The sequence below is a fragment of the Homo sapiens genome, chromosome 7 (genome assembly GCF_000001405.40).
Source record: "Homo sapiens chromosome 7, GRCh38.p14 Primary Assembly".
NCBI classification, from domain to species: domain Eukaryota; kingdom Metazoa; phylum Chordata; class Mammalia; order Primates; family Hominidae; genus Homo; species Homo sapiens.
Genome location: NC_000007.14, coordinates 64076432 through 64099822, shown reverse-complemented (window position 1 = coordinate 64099822; position 23391 = coordinate 64076432). Strand labels below are relative to the sequence as shown.

General features: G+C 43.6%; 1 protein-coding gene and 1 pseudogene across 4 annotated transcripts in view; both read right to left on the bottom strand.

The window, feature by feature from the left end:
* On the bottom strand, positions 13248-14267 carry TRIM60P17 (tripartite motif containing 60 pseudogene 17; annotated as a pseudogene).
* The window catches only part of ZNF727 (zinc finger protein 727), a 39906-nt gene continuing 30998 nt past the window's right edge, over positions 14484-23391 (bottom strand). For 2 of the 4 annotated variants that reach the window (NM_001159522.3, XM_017012225.3), the window contains one exon: positions 14484-22547. In NM_001159522.3, coding sequence (NP_001152994.1) covers positions 21274-22547 — 1274 coding nt within the window. In that variant the 3' untranslated portion in view covers positions 14484-21273. The remainder of the gene's footprint in view (positions 22548-23391) is intronic. The other 2 variants (XR_242241.4, XR_927469.2) reach the window with 2 other exon arrangements.

Genomic DNA, 23391 nt, shown 5'->3' with positions numbered 1-23391 from the left:
TGGGGCCCCGACCCTAACCAAGGGGCCAGGAGCTCCCTCTTGGGGTTGCAGGCACATGAATATGCAAGGAGAGAGGCCAAGTGGCTCAAGCCTGTAATCCCAACACTTTGGGAGGCTGAGGTGGGCGGATCACCTGAAGTCAGGATTTGGAGACCAGGCTGGCCAACCTGGTGATATACCCGTCTCTACTGAAAATACAAAAAATTAACTGGGCGTGGTGGTGCACACCTGTAATCCTAGCTGCTCGGGAGGCTGAGGCAGGAGAATCGTCTGAACCCTGGAGGAAGAAGTTGCAGTGAGCCGAGATCATGCCACTGCATTCCAGCCTGGGCAACAGAGTTAGACTGTCTCAAAAAAAAAAAAAAAAAAAAAAAAAAAAAAAAAAAGCTACATACCTGTCACCCAGTTTGCCTGCTAGGAAATTCCTTGTGAGCACCAAGAATTTTAGTGACCTCTTAAGTCATCCCTCTGCTCACCTAAGACAAATGCGTATTTGTTTGCTTCCTCTGCTAGAAAAATTCAGATTCCCTGAACTAGACAAAGGCAAAAGTGATGGCTGGGGGCGGTGGCTCACGCCTGAAATCCCAGCACTTTGGGAGGCGAGGCAGGTGGATCACCTGAGGTCAGGAGTTCACGACTGGCCTCACCAACGTGGTGAAACCCCGAGCAAATTTTTTTTTTTTTTTTTTTGAGACGGAGTCTTGCTCTGTCACCCAGGCTGGGTGCAGTGATGTGACCTCCACACACTGCAACCTCTGCCTCACGAGTTCAAGCAATTCTCCTGCCTCAGCCTCCCAAGTAGCTGGGATTATAGGCACAGGCCACTACTGCCCGGCTAATTTTTGTATTTTTAGTAGAGATGGGGTTTCGCCATGTTGGCCAGGCTGGTCTCAAACTCCTGACCTCAGGTGATCCACCTGCCTCAGCCTCCAAAAGTGTTAGGATTACAGGCGTGAGCCACCACGCCCGGTGAAATCCCATTTCTACTAAAAATACAAAAATTAGCCGGGTGTGGTGGCAGGCACCCATAATCCCAGCTACTCGGGAGGCTGAGGCAGGAGTATCGCTTGAACCTGGGAGGCAGAGGCTTGCCATGAGCCGAGATTGCGCCATTGCACTCCAGCCTGGGCAACAAGACTGAAACTATGTCTCAAAAAAGATAAGAAATGGCCTAAGTGAGTATTCCTCTACCCTTCCCCCAGATGTACATTGTGTATTTGGCGAAAGTCTGATTAAAGGCTGGCATGGTGGCTCATGCCTATAATTCCACCACTTTGGAAGCCTGAGGCAGGTGGATCACCTTAGGTCTTAAGTTCAAGACCAGCCTGGCCAAGATGGTGAAACCCCATCTCTACTAAAAATACAAAAATTAGCTGGGCAAGGTGTCAGTGGCCTGTAATCCCAGCTACTTGGGAGGCTGAGGCAAGAGTATCGCTTGAACCCAGGAGTCCAAGGTTGCAGTAAGCCGAAATGGCGCCATTGCAATCCAGCCTGGGCAATAAGAGCAAAACTCCACCTCAAAAAAAAACCCAAAAAAACAAACAAAAAAAAGAAAGTCTGATCGAAGACTTAAAAGAATGCGACCGTTTGTCTCTTATCTACCCACACCTTTTTAAAATGTCTTCTTCCTTCCCCAATATCTGTCTTTTCTCCTTTAAATATTGAACCTCTCAAAGTAATCTTTGGAGAAAGATACAGACCTGCCTCCCAGGCATGCATCCTTCATGTTGGCAAAACAAACTTTTTTTTAAGATGGAGTCTCACTTACTCTGTTGCCCAGACTGGAATGCAGTGGTGTGATCTTGCCTCACTGCAATCTCGCCTCCCAGGATCAAGCAGTTCTCCTGCCTCAGCCTCCTGAGTAGCTAGGATGACGGCTAATTTTTGTATTTTTTGTAGAGACAGGGTTTCACAACATTGGCCAGGCCAGTCTCAAACTCCTGGCCTCAAGTGATCCACCTGCCTCAGCCTCCCAGTGCTGGAATTACAGGCATAAGCCATAGCGCCCAGCCCAAAATAAATTGTCTAAATTGATCAAGACCTGTCTCAGATACTTTTTGGTTTATACCTTCTGCTATGATTGGAAGCTTCCTGAGGCCTCACCAGAAACAAATGCCAACACTATGCTTCCTGTACAGCCTGCAGAACCGTGAGCAAATACATCTCTTTCCTTTATAAATTACCCAATTCCAGTTATTCTTTGAGTGCAATAAAGAAAGGACTAATACAAAGAGACTCAAGATTTCCCTTTATTTGGCCAGGCACAGTGGCTCACGCCTATACAATCCCAGCACTTTGGGAGGCCGACGCAGGCAGATTGCGTGAGGCCAGGAGTTCGAGACCATGGCGAAACCCTGTCTCTAATAAAAATACAAAAATACTAAATACCAAAATATAAAAATTAAGGCTGGGCATGGGTAATCTCAGCACTTTGGGAGGCCAAGCTGGGAGGATCACTTAAAGACAGGAATTTGAGACCAACCTGGGAAACATGATGAGATCCCATCTCTACAAAAAATAAAATTAAGGCCAGGCACGGTGGGTCATACCTGTAATCCCAGCACTTTGGGAGGCCGAGACAGGCAGATCATAAGGTCAGGAGTTCGAGACCAGCCTGATCAATATGGTGAAACCCCGTCTCTACTAAAAATACAAAAAATTAGCCGGACATGGTGGCATGTACCTGTAATCCCAGCTACTCAGGAGGCTGAGAGAGGAGACTCACTTGAACCCAGGAGGCAGAGGTTGCAGTGAGCCAAGATCGCGCCACTGCACTCCAGCCTGGGCCACAGAGGTGACTCTGTCTCAAAAAAAAAAAAAAAAAAAAGAAAAGAAAAAAGAAAAAGAAGTGGGCAGCCTGGTAGGAAGATGGGGCAGCCCTGAAAGGCTCGGTGAATGCACCAGCCTGAAGCTAACCCTCTGCAGATCTGGGATGCTGCCCTCCAAGATGTGGTACACACTGACAACTGGTGTCCCTGGTAGCTGGATCACACAGACCCGGAATCAAAGAGAGTAGAAATAGAAAAGTAGAGGCCAGGAGTGGTGGCTCATGCCTGGAATCCCAGCATTTTGGGAGGCTGAGGTGTGCATATCACTTGAGGCCAGGAGTTCAACACTAGCCTAGACAACATGGTGAAACTCCATCTCTACTAAAAATACAGAATTAGGCGGGCATGGTGGTGCATGCCTGGAGTCCCACTTACTTGGGAGTCTGAGGCACTAGAATTGTTTGAACCCAGGAGGCGGAAGGTTGCAGTGAGCCGAGATTGTGCCACTGCACTCCAACCTGGGTGACAGAGCAAGACTCTGTCTCCAAGAAAAAAAAAAAAACTGGAAAGGCGTCCTCTGAGCATCTCTTCTGGTGAACCATTTTCAGAGTTTTGGTCTCCTGCTCAGGCTGGAGTGTAGTGGCACAATCATAGCTCACTATAACCGTGAACTCCTGGGTTCAAGTAATCCTCCTGCCACGCCCAGCTAATTTTTAAAAACACTTATTTTAGAAATGGGGTCTCACTATTACTCAGTCTGGTCTCAAACTTCTGGGCTCAAATGGTTTTTTTTTTTGTTGTTGTTGTTGTTTTTTGAGATGGAGTCTTGCTCTGTCGCCCAGGCTGGAATGCAATGGCTTGATCTCTGCTCACTGCAACCCCCGCCTCCTGGGTTCAAGCGATTATCCTGCCTCAGCCTCCTGAGTAGTTGGGATTACAGGCATGTGCCACAACACCCAGCTAATTTTTGTATTCTTAGTAGAGACAAGGCTTCACTATGTTGATTAGGGTGGTCTCAAACTCCTGACCTCAGGTGATCCACCTGCCTTGGCCTCCCAAAGTGCTGAAATTACAGGCGTGAGCCACCGCACCCAGCCCTCAAATGATCTTTCTACCTCAGTCTCCCAAGTAGCTGGGACTCCAAGCATGTGCCACCATACCTGGCTAAGTTTTGTAATGTGTTCCCAATCTTTATAACATTAGGGTCTGATGGACTTAGGGGTCCCAGTTCCCAGGATCATGGTAAGCAGAATACTTTCTTTTTGTTTTTTTAATTACCTTTTTTTTTTGCCAGGTGTAGTGGCTCACATCTGTAATCTCAGCACTTTGGGAGGACAAGACGGGCAGATTGCTTGAGCTCAGGAATTCTAAACCAACCTAGGCAACACAGCAAAACCCTATCTCTACAAAAAATACAAAAATTAGCCAGGCATGGTGGCACATACCTGTAGTCCCAGCTACTCAGGAGGCTGATGTGGGAGGGTCGCTTGAGCATGAGAGGTTGAGGCTGCAGTAAGCTGTCATCACACTGCTGCATGCAGCCTGGAGGACACAGAAAGACCTTGTCTAAAAAAAATGTATATATATGGGTAGTAGAGGAGAAATAACGTTTGAAGGCCGGGTGCAGTGGCTCACACCCATAATCCCAGCACTTTGGGAGGCTGAGGCAGGCAGATCACCTGAGATCAGGAGTTTGAGACCAGCCTGGCCAACATGGCGAAACCCTGTCTCTACTAAAAATAGAAAAAATTAGCCAGGCGTGGTGGCATGCACCTAATCCTGGCTACTGGGGAGGCTGAAGCAGGGGAATTGCTTGAACCCGAGGCAGAGGTTGCCGTGAACTGAGACTGCACCACTGCACTCTAGCCTGGGTGACAGAGCAAGACTGTCTCAAAAAAAAAAAGAAAAGAAAAGAAAAGAAAAAGAGAAAAGAGAAATAACGTTTGATATGTATGGACCTAGAAGCTAATGTGTGTAAAGTAATTCCAGTCATCAGAGAAGTGCAATTATAAGCATATAATTCCATTCTTGTTGATACCTAGTTATAATGTAGCATCACTCCTAACAGAACGGCCTCAATCATTTGGTATATGCATTTTTTTTTTGTTTGCTTGTTTTAGAGACAGGGATGTGCTTTGGCACCCAGGCTGGAGAGCAGTGGCACGATCTTAGCTCACTGCAGCCTCCAATTCCTGGACTCAGGCAACCCTCCTGCCACAGCCTCCTGAGTAGTTAGACACAGGTGCGTGCCACCACACCTGGCTAACTTTTTAAAAATAGAGTTTGCATTTTTATGAGAATTATATGCACTAGAAGTTATTACAATTGTTGTGTTTATAAACAATGATAATATCTTTTCATGAAGTCACAGCCCAATGTATCAGTTCACGTTTTTTTTTTGTTTGTTTGTTCGTTTTGTTTTGTTTTGTTTTGTTTTGTTTTTTTGAGACGGAGTCCCACTTTTTCTCCCAGGCTGGAGTGCAATAGCGCGATCTCGGCTCACTGCAACCTCCGCCTCCTGGGTTCAAGTGATTCTCCTGTCTCAGCCTCCTGAGTAGCTGGGATTACAGGCATGAGCCACTGCGCGCAGCCTTCAGTTCACATCTTAGCACACCAGGAAGGCTATGTGGTTCCACAGCAAACAGACTAAAGAAACAAATGCTTCAGTAATAAAACTCCCACATATATTCATCAATATATCAATGTGTGTTGAGAAAGAATAATTTGATTACATAATTATGTAGTTTAGTACCAGTGTAGCAGCTTTTTGAGGCAGGGTCTCACTCTGTTGCCCAGGCTGGAGTGCACTGGCATCATCAAAGCTCACTGCAGCCTTGACCTCCTGGGCTCAAGTGACTGTCCTGCATCAGCCACCAGAGCAGCTGGGACCACAAGTGCACACCATCATGCTCGGCTAATTTTTGTATTTTTAGTAGAGACCGTGTTTCACCACGTTGGCCAGGCTGGTCTCGAACTCCTGACCTCAAGTGATCCACCCGCTTCAGCCTCCCACGGTGCTGGGATTACAGGCATGAACCACCACACCCAACCTACTTTTTTGTTTTTGTTTTTTGGAGACAGGATCTCAACCTGTGCCCTGACTGGAGTACAGTGGCACCACCATGTCTCACTGCAGCCTTGACCTTCTAGGCTCAAGTGATCCTCCCATCTCAGCCTCCCAGGTAGCTGAGACCACAAGCATGCACCACCATACCCTGCTCATTTTTAAAATTTTTGGTGACATTTTGGAGTCTCACTACGTTGTTCAGGCTGGTCTGTCTCAAACTCCTTGGCTCTTGTCTCAAATGCCTTGGCTCAAAAAGCCGGGCGTGGTGGTGCATGCCTGCAATCCTAGCTACTCGGGAGCCTGAGGCAGGAGAATTGCTTGAACCCAGGAGGTGGAGGTTGTGGTGAGCCGAGATCGTGCCATTGCACTCCACCCTGGGGAACAAGAGCAAAACTCCGTCTCAAAAAACAAAACAAACAAACAAAATAAATAAATAAAAATAAAAAAATTAGCCAGGCGTGGTGGCAGGCACCTGTAATCCCAGCTACTTGGGAGGCTGTGGCAGGAGAATTGCTTGAACCTGGGAGGTGGAGGTCGCAGTGAGCCAAGATCATACCACTGCACTCCAGCCTGGACAACAGAGCAAGATTCCATCTCAAAAAATTAAAAGAAAAAAAAAAAGAAAAAAAGTGAGAATTACTAAGTGCCACAAGAATGACACTAAGCCGTTCATGAGAGATCTGCCCCTATGACCTAAACACCTCCCACCAGGCCCCACCTCCAACACTGAGAACCAAATTTCCACACAACAAACCATAACCAAACCACAGGATAGGGACTATTATTATTCCCATTTCTCAAATGTGGAAACTGAGACACATGAAGGTTCAGTAACTTTTCTGACACCACAGAGCTGGTAAGATGCAGAACTGGGAATTTGACCTAATCAATCTGTTTCCAAGTGCTTATGCTGTCACTCTAAATCACTCTGCCATACTAACTCGAAAAGACTTTTCTTCTACTAATGCTATCCTAATGCTATCCCTCCCCCATCCCCCAACCCTACAACAAGCCCTGGTGTGTGATACTCTCCGCCCTGTGTCCAAGTGTTCTCATTGTTCAATTCCCACCTGAGTGAGAACATGCGGTGTTTGGTATTCTGTCCTTGCGCTAGTTTGCTCAGAATAATGGTTTCCAGCTTCATCCATGTCGCTACAAAGGACATGAACTCATCCTTTTTTATGGCTGCATAGTATTCCATGGTGTATATGTGCCACCATTAGGAGAAATACCTAATGTAAATGACGAGTTAGTGGGTGCAGCAAACCAATATGGCAGGCACATGTATACATATGTAACGAACCTGCACGTTGTGCACATGTACCCTAGAACTTAAAGTATAATAAATAAATAAATAATAAAAAGAAAAGACTTTTCTTGAGATAGTGTCATGCTCTGTCACCCAGGCTGGATCACAGTTCACTGTAGCCTCAACCACCTGGGCTCAGGTGATTCTCCTGCCTTAGCCTCCCAAGTAGCTGGGACTAAAAGCACATGCCATCACTCCCAGCTATTTTTTTTTTTTTTTTTTTTGAGACGGAGTCTCACTCTGTCGCCCAAGCTGGAGTGCATTGGCACAATCTCAGCTCACTGCAACCTCCGCCTCCCAAATTCAAGTGATTTTCCTGCCTCAGCTTCCTGAATAGGTGGGATTACAGGTACGCGCCACCATGCCTGGCTGATTTTTGTATTTTTAGTAGAGATGGGGTTTCACCATGTTGGCCAGGCTGGTCTCAAACTCCTGAGCTCAGGTGATCTGCCTGTCTTGTTTTAAAACAAAATGTTTTTAAAATTATCTGGATATAGGGCCAGGTGCAGTGGCTCATGCCTGTAATCCTAGCACTTTGGGAGGCCGAGGCGGGTGGACTACAGACGTGTGCCACCATGCCCGGCTAATTTTTTGTATTTTTAGTAGAGACAGGGTTTCACCGAGTTAGCCAGCATGGTCTCAATCTCCTGACCTCATGATCTTCCTGCCTCAGCCTCCCAAAGTGCTGGGTATACCAGTGTGAGCCACCGTATCCGGCCAGATTTTTTTTTTTTTTTTTTTGAGACAGAGCCTCGCTCTGTCGCCCAGGCTGGAGTGGAGTGGCACGATCTTGGCTCACTGCAAGCTCCGCCTCTCTAGTAGCTGGGACTACAGGCACCCGCCACCACGCCCGGCTAATTTTTTGTATTTTTAGTAGAGACGGGGTTTCACCGCAGATTTTTTTAAAATAGAGATGGGGTGTTGCTATATTGACCAGGCTGCTCTCGAACTCCTGGCCTCAAGAGATCCTCCCGTCTTTGCCTCTCAAAGTGCTAGGATTACAGGTGTGAGCCACCATGCTCAGCCCATATATATATATATACACACACACACACACACACACACGTGTTTATATCTACAGAGATGTCACTTGATATTTTAATTGCTATTTAATATTTTAATATCAATACCATGACAACAATTATCAAGCACAATATCCAATTAGAGTAACAGGCATTTCCGATCCTCTGGCCTCAGCCGCCCTCCTGCGTGGTTTTTGAGGTTAAAGGTTTTTTGGTTTTGGGGTGTTTTTTTTTTTGGCAAGGTCTAAAACTAATCTCTTAATTCTGAATGTCTTCAAAGACCGCCCTCCCCTTTGTATAAATACTTCCATGGACTGTTGTTTCATTACTTAAAATAAACTTTATTGAAGTATACATACAATAAAATGCATCATTTTAAGTGCATAGGTTTTTTTTGAGACAGGGTCTCACTTTGTGCAGTTTGATGAGGCTTAGCAAATGGATATACCTCAGTACCCACTGCCACTATCAAGATACAGAACTTTCTACTGGGTGCAGTGGCTCATGCCTGTAATCCCAACTTTGGGAGGCTGAACCGGGAGGACAGCTTGAGGCCAGGAGTTCCAGGACAGCCTGGGCAACAGAGGAGATACGTGGCTGCAATTTTTAAAAAAAAATTAGCCAGGCATGGTGGCATGCACCTGTGGTCCCAGCTTCTCAGGAGGCTGAGGCAGGAGGATCACGTGAGCCAGGAGTTGAGGGCAGCAGTGAGCTATGACTGCAAAACTGCACTCCAGCCTGGGCGACAGATCAAGATGCTGTCACAAACAAACAAACAAACAAAATTTAAGGCCAGGTGCGATGGCCCATGCCTATACTCCCAACACTTTGAGAAGCCAAGGTGGAAGCATTGTTGACCCCAGGAGTTCCAGACCAGCCTGGGCAATATAGTCATATATCATCTCTACAAAGAATATTTAAAAATTTAGCCAAGCATGTTGGCAAAGGCCTGTGGTCCCAGCTACCTGGGAGGCTGAGGTGGAAGGATCACTTAGGCTCAGGTCAGGAAGGCTGTAGTGAGTTGAGGCAGAGCCACTGCACTCCAGGCTGAGCAACACAATGAGACCCTGTCTCAATACAAAAATACAAACAAATCAACAAAAAAAAACTTTCCCTAGGCTGCTGTGGTGGCTTGTGCCTGTAATCCCAGCACTTTGGGAGGCCGAGGCAGGCTGATCACCTGAGGTCAGGAGATCGAGACCGCCCTGGACTACATTGTGAAACCCCGTGTCTACTAAAAATATAAAAATCAGCCAGGTGTGGTGGTGCACACCTGTAGTCCCAGCTACTCAGGATGCTGAGGCAGGAGAATTTCTTGAACCTGGGAGGCAGAGGTTGCAGTGAGCTGAGATCGAGCCACTGCACTCCAGCCTGGGCGATAAAGCGAGACCCTGTCTCAAAAAAAAAAAAAAAAAAAAGAAAAAAAAAAACTTTCCCATTACTCCAGGGAGTTCCCTCTGACCCCTCCCAGTCAATCCACCTTCCAGCCCTGACCCAGGCAACCACCGATCTGCTCTGTGTCACTGTGGATTAGGTTTGGTGTTTCTAGAATTTCACATCAATAGAATGATATGGAATGTTCTTTTGGGTCTGGCTTCTTCCACACAGCATGTTTTTGAGATTCATCCATTTCCTGCATGTTTCAGTATCTTGTTCCCAAGTACCGTTTTTAGCAACAGAAAACAGAACAAATTTCATGAGTATTTGAATTACACACCTTATTCAGATAAGATTATTTGAACCAATTTTATGACATGAAATGGTGTCTACCACTTTGCAGCTTCTGAAAAGAAGAAACATATCCTCTTTTTTTTTTTTTTTTTCCTTTTGAGATGGAGTTTCACTCTTATTGTCCATGCTTAAGTGCAATGACACGATCTCGGCTCACTGCAACCTCCACCTCCTGGATTCAAGCGATTCTCCTGCCACAGCCACCTGAGTAGCTGGGATACAGGCATGCGCCACCATACCTGGCTAATTTTTGTATTTTTAGTAGAGACAAGGTTTCACCATGTTGACCAGGTTGATCTCAAACTCCTGACGTCAGGTGATTCACCCACCTCGGCCTCCCAAAGTGCTGGGATTACAGGCGTGAGCCACGTGCCCAGCCTCTCTTTCTTGTCCCCCTGAAATTACCTTTCTCCCACAACATTCCCAAGCTCAGTAACAGTTTTCCATAAGCAGAAAAAAAAAGAGAGAGAGAAGGCCAAGGAGCTCAAAACCTAACATATGAAAAGGGAAAAGGCAAGAAGGGAATTACAAACAGGAGGAATGAGGGGCACATAATGTGTTTCTCGGTTTCACCTGATATAAATTTGTATCTGTAACCTGGGCAGCATAGCAAGATCCCGTCTCTACAAAAAATACAAAAACTAGCCAGGAATGCTGGTGTACACCTGTGGTCCCAGCTACTTATGAGGCTCAGGCACAAGGATCTTGAGCCCAGACTGAGGCTGCAGTAAGCTGAGATCACACCACTGCACTCCAGCCTGGGTGACAGAGTAAGACACTGTCTCTAAAAAAATAAATTAGCACGTGTTCCACTCAACTTCTGCTGGAGATGGGCCCCCAAATTTGGCCATAAACTGGCCCCAAAACTGGCCATAAAGAAGTCTCTGCAGCACCATGACATGTTCGTGATGACCATGATGCCCACGCTGGAAGGTTGTGGGTTTACTGGAATGAGGGCAAGGAACACCTGGCCCACCCAGGGTGGAAAACCGCTTTAAGGCGTTCCTAAACCACAAACAATAGCATGAAGGATCTGTGCCTTAAGGACATGTTCCTGCTGCAGATAACTAGCCAGGCCAATCCCTTTGTTTCGGCCCATCCCTTTGTTTCCCGTAAGGAATTCTTTTGGTTAATCTATAATCTGTAGAAACAATGCTTATCACTGGTTTATATGTGGGCAAATCTCTATTCAGGGCTCTCAGCTACGAAGGCTTTGAGTCCCCCGATTCCCCACTCCACACACTATATTTCTGTGTATGTGTCTTTAATTCCTCTAGCACAGCTGGGTTAGGGTCTCCCCACCTGAGCTGGTCTCGGCACCTTCTCACATCTCCCTGATTAATCTTTGAAATTTAGCAAATCCAAAATTACCACTGAGCAGGTGTGAGTGCTCACGCCTGTAATCCCAGCACTTTGGGAGGCTGAAACAGACCCTGAAATTGTGGTTCAGGGTGACCAGGCTGAGGCTGCCTTTTAAAAGACAGAACTGCCAGGTCTATGTCTTATTTGCCTTGTCATTCTAATGTATCTTTTGGTATGGAGACCAGAAAAAGAGTCTGAGTATGTGACAGCCCTCCTGCTAGACTTGGTACTATTTATACATGACTCTTAAGAGTCAAGGTAGGTTGAGAGATCTCTCTTCCTGGCAAAGCCTGAATAGGCTAGAGCACTGTGACCCTTAAAGCTTAGTTCATGCAGTCTTCAGAGGAATTTCAAAAACCACAGGATGTGGGGGGTAGAGAAAGAGCTGGTACAAATAACAAGTTGCAGGTGAAATAATTGGAGCCAGGAAGAGAACAGGACTTGCTTGGGACAATACACACACTGCCTGGGTGCAGCTGAACAGTTAAGCCAGTTTTCTGATTTGGGCCTTGTGCCATGGAATTAACAGGCCCACTTCTGTTCTGGCCTGGGTGCTGAACTCTTTGGTTCTAGAACCAAATGTGAATTCTGGACCCTGGAATTCCAGCTGGGTTTCACAGGCCACTGGAGTGAGGTTGCCCAGGTGGGCCCACAAAAGTGGCTGTGGGTGGGCTTACCTCACATGATTGGCTGCTTCTACGCCTACACTCACAAGGAAGAAGGATCTTCTTCCTCAAGGCATGCCTAGGGAAGCCTGAGGCTTATGGGAGCCAGTGAAGAAAAAAGGTGATGCCTCAGCCCAGTGCTTTTGCCCCTCCCGACTTGTGCAGCTCCAGGTACAGCCTGTGCTTCAAAAGGCTGGGGGATCTCTGGGCTGAGCTCAGGGCCCTGAGAGGGTTCTCCCCTTCAGGGACCGCTCATGCCTACCCCTCTGTGCCTACCTGACAGCTCAGCATGTCTGCTGTATGCCACCCTTATTGCCTGCTCTTGCCAAGTCCATGTCTCCCCAGACTGGCTAGGGGTACATGCTCACTGAAGCCCAGTTGACCTGTCCATCCTTCTTCCAATGCACAGCCTCAGGCAGGTGCCACCCAGGGTACCTCCTAGAATGTGATCTCGGGGGGTCACAGCCACACATTCTGCTCTTATTTATTGACTAGTTAATCATTAAGTCACTTAATGTGCCAAGATGAGTGTGGGCCTTGACACTCTTGATCTCCTTCCTCTAGTGGGGCTGCACTGAGGATTGCCATCCTGATTTCTGTGGAAAAAGCTAGCAGGTGAGGCAGGACTTAAGGGCCAGGGACAGGACAGAGCACCTAGGCTGGCCTCACCCAGGGCCCTCTGAGGCCCCATGCAGGCAGGAGGGCTCAATGGAGCTCCAGGCCCCTTTTCTAGGATGGTGCCCATGGCCCCTTCCTGGACCTCCAAGAAGGGCCCACTCTTTCTGCAACCTGCACCCACTGGTCTCTAGGAGGTGAGCACCCATTTATCTTTGTGGACATGGCCTTCTGCTTCATTTCCATTGATGTTCTCCTGGAAGAAATGCCTAGGGAATCCTGGGCCTGTGCTGGAGGTTCTCTAAGTGCCAAAGTCAATAAGAAAGTCTCAAGAATATAATTAATAGTACTTTCTGCACATTACTATCTCAGTGCTACTTTTGTGCAAAAATGTGTAAAAACAAATATTAAGATTTTTATCCTTTACATTATTTTAATTAGGTCATCATACAAACCTTTTATTTTCCTGAGATTTATTTTCATGCCAATCATTGAATTTTTGTTTTCCTCTTTGTTCAAATTGTTACCTGTTTTAGAGGCAAAATCTTAAAAATATATATGCTTCACAAATACTAACAGGTGACAGCAATTTATTTAAAATGTAATTAGATTTGTTAAATAAATAATTTAAGAAAACATAGTTTATATTACTTGTCTGAATTATTTTTACATCTTCAACTTAAAATTTTTTAGCTAGGTATGCAATTCAAAATTGACATATTTTAAAAATTATTATTTTAAAAAATCACCCAATTCATAGTCCAAAAAAATACCAATCTTACTGGATTTTACTACTAGCAGAAGCTGAGTTGCCTTAGGACCTGATGCAACATAACCACTCTATCTATATATCACCCAATTGCCCAAAATCTACCCAGAACTGAAGGCCGATTCTGCCAGTTCCTAAGAAGACAGTCTTAACACACACCCAATTTTCATTTAGGATCGTTTCCCACTTCTACCTTCTAGTAATTTCTGCCAGAACTACACTTCTGACAGCCCAGGACAGCAGGGCAGAAATAAAATCTCCTTGAGCTATAACAAATGTTTGGTTTTGTTCTTCCATATCACACAGCTTTTCTATTCTCGGAGACAGTAAGTTGAGGATGTGCTGTGTCAAGATCTAGAACCAAGGCTGGGTGCAGTGGCTCACACCTGTAATCCCAGCACTTTGGAAGGTTGAGTCGGGCAGATCATGAGGTTAGGAGATTGAGACCATCCTGGCTAACATGGTGAACCCCGTCCCTACTAAAAATGCAAACAATTAGCCAGGTGTGGTGGTGGGCGCCTGTAGTCCCAGCTACTTGGGAGACTGAGGCAAAAGAATTGCTTGAACCTAGGAGGTGTAGGTTGCAGTGAGCCAAGACTGTGCCACTGCACTCCAGCCTGGGCAACAGAGTGAGACTCCATTTCAGGAAAAAAAAAAAAAAAAAAAAGATCTAGAATCAAATCCACTTGAAATAGCTTGATAATTCTGTCTAAGCCAGAATATAGAGGAGGAAAACTAAAACCATATTTTTGTTAATCTAAATGAAAAGAGTTCAGGGCATTTTAGGCATCAATACCTGTGGAGCATACCCTTAACATCTGTCAGCAATTCCAGGTTTGAACTGCATAGAATTGGCCTCTACCTCCCCCAGTAGATGTTTAAATGTAGAAACATAATCCAAAAATTTTACAAGGTTTTCACTTAGTTTTGCTAAAATGTCCATCTCTTTATCTTGTTTCAATTGTGAGAGTCAATTGTGCAGCATGGATACGATTATACTCTCTTCATATGCAGAATGTCACCACTATAGATACTTTCAATTTTTCACCTGAGACAACAGGCTGATTTCAAAAAGAAGTTATTTCTAATTATGTAGCTTCTATTACATAGCTAGTATTACTTTTGTTGGTTTATTTCATGTATATGCCAAAATAAAATGTTCAACTCTACTTGAATAAATTGACCCAATAAATTTAATAAAATCAATTATATCAATTTTACAAAGTAAAATGATCAATAACTAAATGAAAATTGGATTAAATAGCATTCTCTAATTGAAACAAAATGTAAAATATACTAAATAACATACAATAATACACTCAGTGTGAAATTACATGTGAAAATTATTTTATGAACACCATTAAATTTTATCAGTCACTTTCATAATCTCTGAGGGGATAGTACAAATAATGTTTTCTGAAATTAGATGACAAGAAAATGATATATTATGCCTATGGTGAACAACAAGAAAACAGACAAACAAACAAAAAAAGAATTTGCAAAAGATGATTCTAAGTCAGGAGCAATAACATTTCAGATAAATGAATTTAATACAAAGCAGAGAAAACAGATTTTCTTTCAAAATCTTTGAAATTACTGGTTTGCTGGCAAGATATCAACACATGTAAAATTATCTGTTTCACTCTAATATTTTTCTTTTCTTCTCAAAATAGGTATACAACCATAAACAAATACGAATATTTTCTCTATAAATCTGTTACACTTAAAGTTTATTTTACAGTGATACATTTGTATATTTAAATTGATGTAAATCAAAACTAAAGGTCTGTACGTGTTTAGCAGACGAGAGAAGTCATATTTTCAACAGAAAAAAGTAGGATAAAATTTTGTAAATAGTTGTTCAGAATTCAGAAACATATAGCTCCATTATACTCATCTTCATTACAAACATCATAATAACCTGTAGTTACAAGAAAAACAAAAATGTTAATTTGTAGGAATCATATTCTCCAAATTATGGTAAGTTAAAGACCACTGACAAAGAAATCACTAGAGATGTTATTCCACAGTCACACAATAGTATATTGTTACCATCTGTTGACCTACAACCTTGGGTAAGATGGGATAAGTTAACATCAGTGGCAAGATACACATTCAGTGTAAAATAGCCTTAACTCAATAACAATAATTTTGGTTTATTAAAATAAATTAAGTTCATACATTGTCATTAAAAAGGCATTTTGAAACTCACTGTATTTTAATTACCTTAGTTTGCAAATGGTAAAGCAATTTCCTTCTAAAATTCAAATTGTTTCTCTTACTATGCAGAATATTATCCTAATCACTTACCACACTTCTATCACCCTGTCACTTATAATGCTGTTGTAAATCAACCACTAAGTGGCCTTTCCACTTAGAATTTCTTCATGTATCTTAGATTTCATTTCTCTTAATCTTCCATAGGAAAGTATATAAATCTTTTCATCTGATACGGAAGAACTTCTCCTAACTCTGGTGCAGCAACCATTGACCATGTTCTTTCACATAAATTCTAGAATGAAGACATAGCATCAAATGTAAGAGTTAAATTACATCAATATTTGCCTTTGAAAATAAATTATTTTAATATAAAAAAGTAGAAGGAGCTAGACTGTGTAGCTCTCACAGAGAAGAATGCAAGGTGTGCATAGATACAGCACCTTCAACTGAAACATCCAGGTACTTGCATTGGAACTAATGAAAGAAACAACTTAACTTACGGAGAATGGAGTAAAGCAAGGCAGGACAATGGGCCACCAGGGAACAACATGGAGCCAAAGGAACCTCCCCACCCAGTAAAGCAGTGAGTGCATGTGTGACCCTAGAAACCCATGATTCTCCCACAGATCTCTGCAACCTTCGGGTGAGGAGATACCCTCAGGAACCCACTTCACCAAGGCCTTCAATTTAACACACAGAGCTATGTGGAGTCTCAGCAGAGCAGCCACTGAGGCCTGTGCAGAGATTCAAGAGCCTCAGATACTCTGGCTTTCCAGGCTTCCCAGAAAAAGTAGCTGCAACTCAGCAAACAGGAGGTTATAACCTTGTACATACCCATAGGCAAGAGGCGAAATCCAGGGGGCTGAGCAGTGATGGTCTGCAGGACCCACTTCCACAGTGCCCCACAGGGTAAGAACTACTGGCTTAAAATTCCAGCCAACCATTGGTAGCAGTACGGTACCTCCCTGGGATGGAGCTACCAGAAAGAGGAGTGGGCCGCCATCTTTGCTTCTTGGGCAACTTAGCCATTCCAACCTTCATGTGTTGAAGAGCCCAAGCTGATCGGGGACAGAAAGGATCTCCTAGCACAGTACAGGCGCTCTAAAAAGACATGGCCAGACTGTCTGTTAAAGCAGGTCCCCAATCTCATTCCTCCTCACTGCAAAGCAGTTCCCAACCAGGGTCTCCAGCTACCACCACAGGTGCTCTTTGATCAGTGGAGTTTTGAATCCTCTTTGGGATACAGCTCCTAAAGGGAAGAGTGAGCGGCCATTTTTGCTGTTTGTGTGACTTAGCTGTTCCAGCCTTCTGGCTTTGAAGAGTCCAAATAAACTGGGGGTGGAAGTGGTACTTCTGCACAGCAGAGCTGTCCTACAAAAATGTGGCTAGACTGCATTCTTTCTTTTTTTTTTTTGAGACGGAGTCTCGCTCTCTCACCAGGCTGGAGTGCAGTGGCACAATCTCCGCTCACAGCAACATCTGCCTCCTGGGTTCAAGCAATTCTCCTGCCTCAGCCTCCCGATTAGCTGAGACTACTGGTGCATGCCGCCACACCTGGCTAATTTTCTTTTTTTGTATTTTAGTAGAGGTGGGATTTCACCATGTTGCCCAGGCTGGTCTTGAACTCCTGAGCTCAGGCAATCCACCTGCCTCGGCCTCCCAAAGTGCTAGGGTTACAGGCATGAGCCACTGCGCCCAGCCTACACTGCTTTCTTAAGTGGGTCCCCAGTCATGTTCTCCTCACTGGGTAAGACCTTTCAACAGGGGTTTCCAGCTACCTCCTACAGTTGCTTTGGGGCTGGAAACCGGTCTATACCTCCCTTAGATGGAGCTCTTAGAAAAAAGGGCATGCTGCCATTGTTGCTGTTTTACAGTATTCACTGGTGATAATGTTGTCAGGTACTGGAAAATCTGAGGTGACTAGAAACTGCAGTGGACACCCAGCATACTGCAGCAGCCCTTCAGAAAAGTGGCCAGACTGTTACGTGAGTGCCTGTTCTCATATATTCTCACTGGGCAAGTTCTCCAGGCCTGGGCCACTAGCCAATCATTGCCAGAGCTATTGAGCCAGTAGCAACTTCGCAACTCCCTAGACAGAGCCTCCAAGAGCAACTGAAAATATTTTTGCCATTGCCTCTGCAGTAGAACTGTCCTTGCTACCCTCAGACTAATGAAAAATCCAACACCCTAAGTGCCTTATTCACACCTCAAACGAGCTGTAGTTTACCCAAGGAGAGAGGGCCAGTCCATCCTCCATGGGTCCCACAAACTACCCACTGCTCATTACCAGTGAACCCCTAATTTGGCCAAAAGCACAGATCCTCCATCCTGGTCGGACTGCACTGAGTGATTGCTGGCCTACACGTCTCTGAGATGCAGCAACCAGAAGACAGGCAAAGAGGTGGGGCAGCAACCCAGCTCATGTGGTACCCAGAGGGTTTAGTGCAAGAGCACCTGTAGTAGAGTGTGGCCATTGACGGCCATTTCCATAGGCTCAACTTTCTCCCATAAGAGACTTTAGCCCTAGGGGAACTGTTGGACCTAATTTCTGCAGGATGGTCTTGCAAATCAGAAGAAGCTGATCCAACTGAGCACTCCTTGGTCTGCTGGCCTCTCCCAGGGATCCAGTCTGGCCACAACTGCTTACAGGGCAGTCTCAGGTACCCTAGGAGCCCATACCATAGCATCTGCACTGGTGGGCCATGCCTGACCCATGAAGAGCTCCGGCAAGGCAGCCCCTGTGACTGCACCAGCTCACATGTTTCTTCCCTATACTCCAGCTTCCCCCAAGACCATGGCAACTCCCCATATTACTTTGCTGGCACATGTCTGCAAAGGTGAGTTTGGCTTTGCTTGCCCCACCAGAAAATGGAAATGTAGTATGCCCCTGCCACTCCCAGCAATTGCTATTGTAGATGAAGCTTTGGCGGGTAGAGAGCCAGAAAGCCCCACCCTGGCCTTTGTGGTAAAACTGTGCGGAGAACAGGGTATCCTCCCACACTCTGAACAATCATTCCTTCTTGGGGGGCACAGAGAAGGCATCAAAACCTTTACTGGCCAGTATCCTGCCCCAAGCCAACACCACCTTTAGTGAAATAGCACACAGTCTCCAGCAGGTAACCCCCACTCCCCTCCCAGCTGCTTTGCTCCTGCCACTGAAGTGAATACCCAAAGACAGGCAGAAACCCCATATCCACTAGCACTCTGCAGCAGCTGTGGCACCTTAGTCCCACAGAGTGGCAGACTCCAAATCACAAGGAGCCACAGAACACAGTTGGGGCTCAATACAACTCCCCCAGAGTTAGAGTATGCAGACTCTAAGTTGTGAGCTGAGCATTTAGAGTATGCAGCCTCTGAGTTGTGAGCTGAGCATTGCCCCCTCCACCACCACAAAAAAAAAAACAAAAACAAAAAACAAAAAACAAAAAACTCCCAGGAACAAAGCCTGTTGGCTGAATCCACCTTTTACCACAATCAAATACTCAAGACCATCAAATAGGATCCAAAAAACCAAACCCCATTCAAAGTTCAGCAACTTTAAAGATACGCCCACAAAGATGAGACAAAATCAGTGCAAAAATGTTGAAAACACAAAAAGCCAGAGTGACTTCTTTCATCCAAATGACCAAATTACATTACCAGCAAGGCCTAAGATGACAGAAGCAGAATTCAGAATATGGGTAGAAGCAAACTTCATTGATCTACAAAGGTAAGTTGCAACCCAATGCAAAGAAGAAAAAAATAATTGCAGGAAGTGATGGAAAAAACAGCCAGTCTAGAGAAAAATATGGCCAACATGATAGAACTGAAAAACACAATACAAAACCTTTATAATGTAATCACAAGTGTTAATAGAAGAATAGGCCAAGCAGAGGGAAGAATCTCAGAGCTTCAAGACTGGCTTTCTGAAATAAGACAGACAAGAATAGTGAAAAAAGTATAAAGAGGAATGAACAAAACCTCCAAGAAATAACAGATTATGTAAATAAACCAAATCTATAATTAAAGAGAGTGCTTGAAAGTGATGGAGAGAATGAAAACAACTTGAAATACATATTTCGGGATACCATCCATGAGAATTTCCCCAAACTAGAGAGGCCAACATTCAAAGGCAAGAAATGTGGAGAACCCCAATAATATACCCCACGAGAAGGTCATCCCCAAGATACATAATCATGAGATTCTCCAAGGTCAAAATGAGAGAAAAAAATATGTTAAAGGCAGCTAGAGAGAAAGACCAGGTCACCTCTAAAAAGAAGCTCAGACAACAATGAACCTTGCAGCTGAGATCCCTCAAGTCAAAAGAGATTAATGGCCAATATTCAACTTTCTTTAAAAAAGAATTCTAATCCAGAAGTTCACATCCGGCCAAAGTAAGCTTCAGAAGCAAAAAATAAATATGATCGTATTCAGATAAGCAAATGCTGAGGAAATCTGTTACCACAAGACCTGCCTTAAAAGATCTTCTGAAGAAAGCCCTAAATAAGAAAAAGACTATAAACAGTCACTACAAAAACACACTAAAGTACACAAACCACTGACATGATAAAGCCACCACATAAACAAATGTGCAAAATAGCCAGCTAAGATGATCATGACAGAATCAAATCCACACATATGAATACAAACCTTAAATGTACATGGGTTAAATGCCCAAATTAAAAAACAGAGTGGCAAATAAAGAACCAAGATCTAATGGTATGCTGTAATTGAGATACCCATTTCAAATAAGCTCAAAATAAAGGGAAAAGTCTACCAAGCAAATAGAAAACAGTAAAAAAGCAAGGATTACAATCCTAGTTTCTGACAAAACAGACTTTAAATCAACAGATTTTTTTAAAAAGACAAAAAATGGCATTACATAATAGTAAAGGGCTATATATGCATCCAACACAAAAGCACCCAGTTATGAAGCAAGTTCTTAGAGACCCTCTAAGATGTTATTAAATGTTCTTCAAGTCATTACCTTTATACTACATTTGTTCAGTAGTAAGTCTCTGATGTTGAACACAATATGACGAATTGTTAAAGGCTTTTCCACATTTTTAACACTTGTGGAGCTTCTCTCTACTATGAATTGTCTTATGTCTAATGACGTGTGAGAACGAGCTCAATACTTTGCCACATTCTTCACATTTGTAGGGTTTCTCACCAGGGTGAATTCTCTTATGATTAGTAAAGTCTGAGAGCCACATAAAGGTTTTGCCACATTCTTCGCATTTGTAAGGTCCCTCTTCCATATGAATTCTCTTGTGGTTAATAAGGATTGAGGAGTAGGTAAAGGCCTTGCCACATTCTTCATGGATGTAGGGTGTCTCTCCAGTATGAATTCTCTTATGTTTTCTAAGGGCCGAGATCCACATAAAACCTTTTCCACATTCATTACATTTGTAGGGTTTCTCTCCAATATGAATTATCTTATGTTTAGCAAGGTCTCAGAACCACCTATAGCCTTTGTTACATTCTTCAGATTTGTAGGGATTCTCTCCAGGGTGAATTCTCTTTTGATTAGTCAGGTCTGAGAAACACAGGTTTTGCCGCATTCTTCACATTTGTAAGGTCTCTCTTCCATATGAATTCTCTTGTGGCTTGTAAGGGTTGAGGAGCGGATAAAGGCTTTGCCACATTCTTCACAAATGTAGGGTTTCTCTCCAGTATGAATTCTCTTGTGTTTACTAAGGGCCAAGATCCACGTAAAAGCTTTTCCACATTCATTACATTTGTAAGGTTTATCTCCAGTATGAATTACCTTATGTTTAGTAAGGTCTGAGAACCACCTAAAGGCTTTGCCACATTCTTTGCACTTGTAGGTCTGTCTCCAGTATGACTTCTCTTGTGTTTAATAAGGCTTGAGGAGCAGGTAAAGGTTTTGCCACATTCTTCACATTTGTAGGGCTTCTCTCCAGTGTGAATTCTCTTATGATTAGTCAGGTCTGGGAACCACTTAAAGGTTTTGCCACATTCTTCACATTTGTAAGGTCTCACTTCCATATGAATTCTCTTGTGTTTAATAAGGTTTGAGGAGCAGGTAAAGCTTTTGCCACATTCTTCACATTTGTAGGGTTTCTCTCCAGTGTGAATTCTCTTATGATTAGTCAGGTCTGAGAACCACTTAAAGGTTTTGCCACATTCTTCACATTTGTAAGGTCTCAATTCCATATGAATTCTCTTGTGGCTAATAAGGGTTGAGGAGTAGGTAAAGGCTTTGCCACATTCTTCACAAATGTAGGGTTTCTCTCCAGTATGAATTCTGTTATGTTGACTAAGGGCCGAGATCCACATAAAAGCTTTTCCACATTCATTACATTTGTAGGGTTTCTCTCCAGTATGAATTCTCTTATGTTTAGTAAGGTCTGAGCAACACCTAAAGGCTTTGTGACATTCTTTACATTTGTAGGGTTTCTCTCCAGTATGAATTCTCTTATGTTTAGTAAGGTCTGAGCAACACCTAAAGGCTTTGTGACATTCTTCGCATTTGTAGGGTCTGTCTCCAGTATGATTTCTCTTGTGTTTAGTAAGGGCTGAGGAACAGGTAAATGTTTTGCCACATTCTTCACATTTGTAGGGTTTCTTTCCAGTATGAACTCTATTATGTTCAGTAAGGTTTGAGAACTTTTTACAGGCTTTGCCACATTCTTCACATTTGTAACTTCTATCTGCAGTATGAATTCTCTTCTGTATGGTAAAATCTGACAACCTACAGTCTTTGCCACATTCTTCACATTTGTAGCATTTCTCTCTGCTAAAAATTTTCTTATGTTCAGTGAAGATTGAGCACAACCCAAAAGCTTTGCCACATTTATTATATTGACAGGTTTTGCTACGGGTAGCTGACAAACATTGATGAATGCCATTATAACTGCTTTTCTGCCCCTTGCAATTACCCACACGTTGGTAGTCTTTCTTTAAACGTAAAGTATTAAGGTCACAGCTTCCAGATTTTCTCAGGATCACTTTTTGAAATGAATCGTTTATGTCGTGCTCCAGCAATATCTCTGCAGTAAAATGCAAAGAGCCAGCTGAAAAAAAAAAAAGAACCACAAAATTTCTCCCTCATCAGACTTAGGTGAATACACTTTACAAATATATAATTATACAAAGCACATTAACAAGGTGACATAATAAAATACCACAGGCTCTACTTCCTTTATAGACATATAAGCTTAACAGAAATATACTGACCAAAATGCCTTTGTGAGAAGTGTAAGAACCAGTTAAGCATTTGTAGCACCTCGTGAGAAAAATGCCAAGAACCACATAGAAGTGTAATAAAAGTATTTCATATTTACCCACCACAGCCATTCTTCATCCCATGATGACTTTAAATATAGACTCCCAATTCCTGTCTTCCCCCTCCAAAAATAAATAAAACAGTGGTACATGTGTTCATGTTTCTGGCTTTTTGAGACCTTACCAAAGACTAATTTCTGTATTCCATGACAGTGTTGAAAATAAAGGTGGTATACTTTGACAGTTTCAGACAGCAGAGACACTTCAGTGTCATAGACAGAGAATGGGTATAGCAAGTGACTACAGGCAGAAGATCAAAGAAGTAAAGAAATAGAAACTGGAACAGAATTGCAAACCATCTAGAACTCTCTACTCAACAATACTAGAACACACATTCTTCTCAAGTACATATGGCACATTCTCAGAAGAGACCATACAACACATAAAAGAAGTCTCCATAATTTTTTTTTTGAGACAAATTCTCTCTCTGTCGCCCAGACTGGAGTGCAGTGGTGCAATCCAACCTCCATCTCCAGGGTTCAGGCAATTCTCCTGCCTCAGCCTCCGGAGTAGCTAAGATTATAGGCGTGCCTCACCTGGCTAATTTTGTATGTTTACTAGAGATGGGGTTTC